The following is a 6,000-nucleotide window of genomic DNA, read 5'->3' on the forward strand; positions in this document are numbered from 1 at the left end:
TCAACTACCAGAGTTGTCTCACAGCTGTGCATGCCTAACCATCTCTATAGGCAGAGTGGTTTATAAAAGTATGAGTTATTTCACTCAGGATAATGAACCCCAACTCCAACCATGTTGCTGTGAAGGACATGATTTCATTATTTTTTTATGGCTTCATAGTATTCCATGGTGAATATAAATGTCACATTTTCTTTAGTCAATTAATTATTGATGGACACTTAGGTTGAGTCTATGACTTTGCTCTTATAAATAGTGCTGTGATAAACATACAAAGACAGGTGTCTTTTTGATAAATTTTTTAATTTTCCTTTGGGTGGGTAGCCAATAGTAGGATTGCTAGGTCAAATGATTTTTCTATTTTCAGTTCTTTAAGAAATGGGTACACATGGACATGAAGATGGAAGTAATAAACATTGAGGACTCTAAAAGGAGGGAGAGAGGGCAAGGTGTGAGGGTGGAAAAACTACCTATGAGGTACCATATTCACTGTTTGGGACGTAGATTCGTGAGAAGCCCAAACTTCACCACTATGCAATACACCCATGTAACAGAGGAATAAAGCCTAGAATAATTTTTTTAAGTGTGAGTTTTATTTTTCTGTCTCTGTATTCCCAGGAACCAGTCAAAATCTGTTCCCAAAGATGTGTCAACAAATAATTTGACAGCATCTCTTTTCTCCCAAACTAGAGCAATTCAATAGCCTTTTATTGTTTTTCCTACTTTCACCTAATTGTTTCCCTTAGTATAGCCTTTTTTTAATCCACAAAGCAAACAAAATGATTTTATAAAGTGCAAAGCAGAATATGTCAAAACCTATATATTTCTTAGAATATACTAATATAAAATTTAAGCTCGTTACCATTATCTACAAGTGATAGACTTTCCACCTGATATTACCTTTTTTTCTTGGAGTCTTCCCACCTTCCCCCATCACTTGTGATGATCTAATCAGGGAGGTCGCCTTTTGCAGATAGAACACACTACCCTTAAGCCAACCAATGGGCCTTACATTTATGGTTCCTTCCGCCTGAAATTCTCCTTCCCTGCATTATGACATAGCTGGATCCTTCCACCATTCAGATCTTTGGTTTAACCAATTTATGCCTAGTGTTCCACTATTGGAACACTAAACTTGTGGGAATTATTTATATCCTACTGCTCAAAGTCATCGCCAAGGTCTGATTTTTCACAAACAAAAAATTTCAACCTCCGGCATAAATGTGTTAATGTTCATTTCCCTAGAGGAGTCTTCCCTGACCACTAGCTTACATGACTATCCACAAATGCCTTATCACACTCTGTTATCTTAGCTTGCTTTATTTCAGTGAAGTAAACTTATTTTTGCATTAGTTTACCTGTTTATTGTATATTTTTCACAATCAGAGAAAAACCTGGTAAGAACAGGATCTTGCCTGCTCATTCACCAACCTCTCAATCCAGACCTTAAAAACAACTCTCAGTGTATAGTGAGTAGACGATCATTTACTCTCTTCTGAAATAATGACTAAAGGAATGAATAATCCATTCAATGCTCAAATCCCTCTCAAACATACTTATTGATATCTTAACCAAGTGCTATCCTATTTTTCCATAAGTAGAAGCAGTGATAAAGAATTCAGTAGTTTTCCATTTTTTTTACACAAGCTTTCCCTCATTTAGCATATGTTTTCTTTCCAATGTGTTCTTCATATTGATGAATGTCCCCACCTGTTGTAAAGACACAAAGCAAGTCTACTCCCTTTTTCACATCATGCTTCTTTGATTATTGCCTTTTGAATCTCTTGCACAGGATCTTTTATGCAGGCTAAGAATACAAGGCCGATCCTCCATTTTATATTTTGTACTTTTAAATTTCCCTAACTTTTTCCTTATGAATATATTCATATATATAATATATATACATGTCTCATACATTTTTTATCACATCTATAATTTTACTAGTACACAGTGGATAATATGTGTGTGTATGTTTGTTTGTGTGTGCATGTGTATATTTGATGCCACCTGTTTTAGTCTGTTGTCACACTGCTAACAAAGACATACCTGAGACTGGGTGATTTATAAAGAAAAAGAGCACAGTTCCACATGGCTGGGGAGGCCTCACAATCATGGCAGAAGACGAGAGGCACATCTTACTTGGCAACAGACAAGAGAACTTGTGCAGGGGAACTCCCCTTTATAAAACCATCAGATCTCATGAGACTTATTCACTATCACGAGAATAGCACATGAAGACCTGCCCCCATGATTCAATTACCTCCAACTGGGTCCCTCCCATAACACATGGGAAATGTAGGAACTACAATTCAAGATGAGAGTTGTGTGGGGACACAGCCATGATATGGCTGTGAAAAGTTTATATCACATAAACTTTTGTGGCAGCTACATCATACCAATAATTTACACTGTTTACAAACCAAAAACAAAACCCAAAAAAATCCCCAAACCATTTTTACAGCACTACAGCAAGTCATGTGTGGTGGCCAGGCTCCAATGCAGGCCCAAGGATCCCTTCTGGCTTCAAGCCATCCTGTAGCTTCCTGCTACATTGCACGATGATTGGGTTGGTCTATGTGATGTACAACACAACACAAGTGAAAGTTTATCACTTCTGAGGCTAGGTTATAAGTGATATCTGCTATGCTCCCTCTTGACTCCGTTACTTTGGAAGAAGTCAGCTGCTATGTCATGAGGACATACCATCTTAATGGAAAAGCCCAAACAATGAGAAACAGGGCCTCTCATCACCAAGAGCCATGTGAATGAGTCATCTGAGCAACAAAATATTTAGCCCCCATTAAGCCTTGAATATGACCTTAGAAAGCAGAACCACCAAACTACTCTACTCTGAGAAACTGTGTGAGAATATAAAACTTCATGTTTTAAGCTGCTAGTTTTAGACTAAATTTGTTATACAGTGATGGATAACTAATAAATCAAGCCTCCCCCCATCCCATATTCATATAATTAGATTTTTCAGATCTAAATTTTTATTCTCATACATTCTTAGTAATATCACATCATTACATTTGGTTCTTTTCATTCCACTTAGGATTTCTAAAATAAATAATTAAATAATGAACAAAACTGATGATGATTTACACAATATCATCCGACAATTTGGAAAGTCTGTTAGCTTTCAAGTTAGTATTGCCACTCAAATTACTGATAAAAATGCTAAAATGGAAAAAGTATTCAACAGCATCCTGCTGGCCTTTAGCAATCTCTCTAGTTCATAATTTTCTAAGCTCATTTCAAACATACATTTTACCAGCTAATAATTTATTTTTTTCCTTTGTAGCCACACAATGTCTCTACACTTAATCTACAAAGAAATGAAAATACTTGTGTTATGTCTGTTGCGTTTTCTTGAATTATAAGCCTTAGCATTAAGTTAGAAAGGAAAGAAAAAATACTTCAATTTGGACATGACTGCTGCTTAGCCCATTTTGGCTTCTGGAAGTATTTTTTCTATTCTAGGGGCTCAAAGGCCATTGTCTTCTACAGTTTTAAAATAATGCCATGAGTTGGGCAAGGACTTCATGACTAAAACACCAAAAGCAATGGCAACAAAAGCCAAAATTGACAAATGGGATCTAATTAAACTAAAGAGCTTATGCACAGCAAAAGAAACTACCATCAGAGTGAACAGGCAACCTACAGAATGGGAGAAAATTTTTGCAATCTACCCATCCGACAAAGGGCTAATATCCAGAATCTACAAAGAACTTAAACAAATTTACAAGAAAAAAATCAAACAACCCCATCAAAAAGTGGGCAAAGGATATGAACAGATACTTCTCAAAAGAAGACATTTATGCAGCCAACAGACACATGAAAAAATGCTCATCATTACTGGACATCAGAGAAATGCAAATCAAAACCACAATGAGACACCACCTCATACCAGTTAGAATAGCGATCATTAAAATGTCAGGAAACAACAGGTGCTGGAGAGGATGTGGAGAAATAGGAACACTTTTACACTGTTGGTGGGATTGTAAACTAGTTCAACCATTGTGGAAGACAGTGTGGCGATTCCTCAAGTATCTAGGACTAGAAATACCATTTGATCCAGCCATCCCATTACTGGGCATATACCCAAAGGATTATAAATCATGCTGCTATAAAGACACATGCACACATATGTTTACTGTGGCACTATTCACAATAGCAAAGACTTGGAACGAACCCAGATGTCCATCAATGATAGACTGGATTAAGAAAATGTGGCACATATATGCCATGGAATACTATGCAGCCATAAAAAAGGATGAGTTCATGTTCTTTATAGGGACATGGATGAAGCTGGAAACCATCATCTGAGCAAACTATCACAAGGAGAGAAAACCAAACACCACATGTTCTCACTCATAGGTGGGAACTGAACAATGAGAACGCATGGACACAGGGTGGGGAACATCATACACCAGGGCCTGCTGGGGGGTGGGGGGAGGGGGAGGGATAACATTAGGAGATATACCTAATGTAAATGATGAGTTAACAGGTACAGCACACCAACAGGGCACATGTATACATATCTAACAAACCTGCACGTTGTGAACATGTACCCTAGAACTTATAGTAAAATTAAAAATAAATAAATAAAATAAAATCATGCCATGAGTTGGCATAAAACTCATCTGCTTCTCCTTTTAAATGAATATGAAAATGGCATTTGCCCCTTTTTAGTCCTGGGTCACCTTCTCAATCCTGCACTGTTCACTGATGATTACTGCTTGTGGTCCTCAGGTCTGTACACATTGGAAATCTCTTTATGCATTTTGGAATGGTCACCTTGCTTCCCAAGGTAGCTACATGTCTATGCACATTTATTTAAATATGTTTCATTACATTGAATTAATCTGTATTTCCTTTTAGATCCTACTTACTGGTACACCCATCAACAAAAAACAAACCCAAAATGGAGAAGAGAAGAGGATATATTAACCATTACATATTTTATAAACACTACAAACCCTGGCAAGTAACATTTGTGAAATTAGTGAATGAATGAATTAATAAATGAACATAAGTGTGAAGCATGCTTATTTAGAAAACCCAGTTCTGTTCATTAACACTTACAATTCAAACACGTATGTGAATCTGGTTAATACACTCTTTACCACAAGATGAGGGTGGTTATAACTTATTTATTTTCCTGTACTTTCTTCTGAAATATATTAAATTTTCTGCCAAGATATAAAATCAATAAGCAGAATACTTCTTCAGTTACTTACTGTGCATGAAAAAATAAGGAGACAGAAATAGAACACAATTTTGAAAAATATAAACCAGTTTTAAGATATTTCCAGATTTGATATTTTCCATTATTACCTTTAAATAAACTCCATCGAAAAAGGAGTCCTTTGCCTATCAGCAAAAGAAATTCTGTTATATGCAAGTGATAAGCCAATCTAAGGACATATAAAATAAGTTATTATGCAATAAATATGTCATCCCCAATCAGAGTAGAAGGATAAGAACAATAAAAAGAGCTAGGGTAATAGAAATGGAATTTTAAAACATATGAATCCTGCTATTAGTCTATTTCTCAGAACATACTCCAGATGCAATAAAGTGCTAAATTCTTTATATAAATATATAAAGACACCAGTAAATAAATGAGCAATGGACAAAAAACTGAATTCCTCAAAATAGGAATAGAACACTTTAACAAACACATGGAAAGAAAGACGTTCACCCCCATGAGGAATCAAATAAATAAAAAATAGTATAATAATAATACACACTTTTTAATCTAACAAATTAGAAATTATTTAAATTTAATACACAGAAGCAATGCCTGTTGGCGGAAGATGAAAGAGGCACATTTACATTAACATAAATGGGAGTATAAATTACTTATAAACCCTACTGAGAAGTCATCTGTCAATATCTATTTTAAAAAGGCTTAAATGTATTAATTGCCTTTAACTCACTAATTCCATTTCTAAAAATTTCACTAGGCTGGGCACAGTGGCTCACACCTATAATCCC

General features: G+C 35.6%; 2 long non-coding RNA genes across 2 annotated transcripts in view; one reads left to right on the forward strand and one right to left on the reverse strand.

Moving 5' to 3' along the window:
* The window catches only part of LINC01830 (long intergenic non-protein coding RNA 1830), a 26,798-nt gene extending 25,816 nt beyond the window's left edge, over positions 1 to 982 (reverse strand). The window contains exon 1 of the long non-coding RNA NR_187227.1: positions 898 to 982. This is a non-coding gene — a long non-coding RNA (long intergenic non-protein coding RNA 1830). The remainder of the gene's footprint in view (positions 1 to 897) is intronic.
* The window catches only part of LOC107985857 (uncharacterized), a 6,051-nt gene extending 1,021 nt beyond the window's left edge, over positions 1 to 5,030 (forward strand). The window contains exon 3 of the long non-coding RNA XR_001739331.2: positions 4,882 to 5,030. This is a non-coding gene — a long non-coding RNA (uncharacterized LOC107985857). The remainder of the gene's footprint in view (positions 1 to 4,881) is intronic.
* The last annotated feature ends 970 nt before the right edge of the window (positions 5,031 to 6,000 follow it).

This window comes from Homo sapiens, chromosome 2, assembly GCF_000001405.40.
Source record: "Homo sapiens chromosome 2, GRCh38.p14 Primary Assembly".
NCBI lineage: Eukaryota > Metazoa > Chordata > Mammalia > Primates > Hominidae > Homo > Homo sapiens.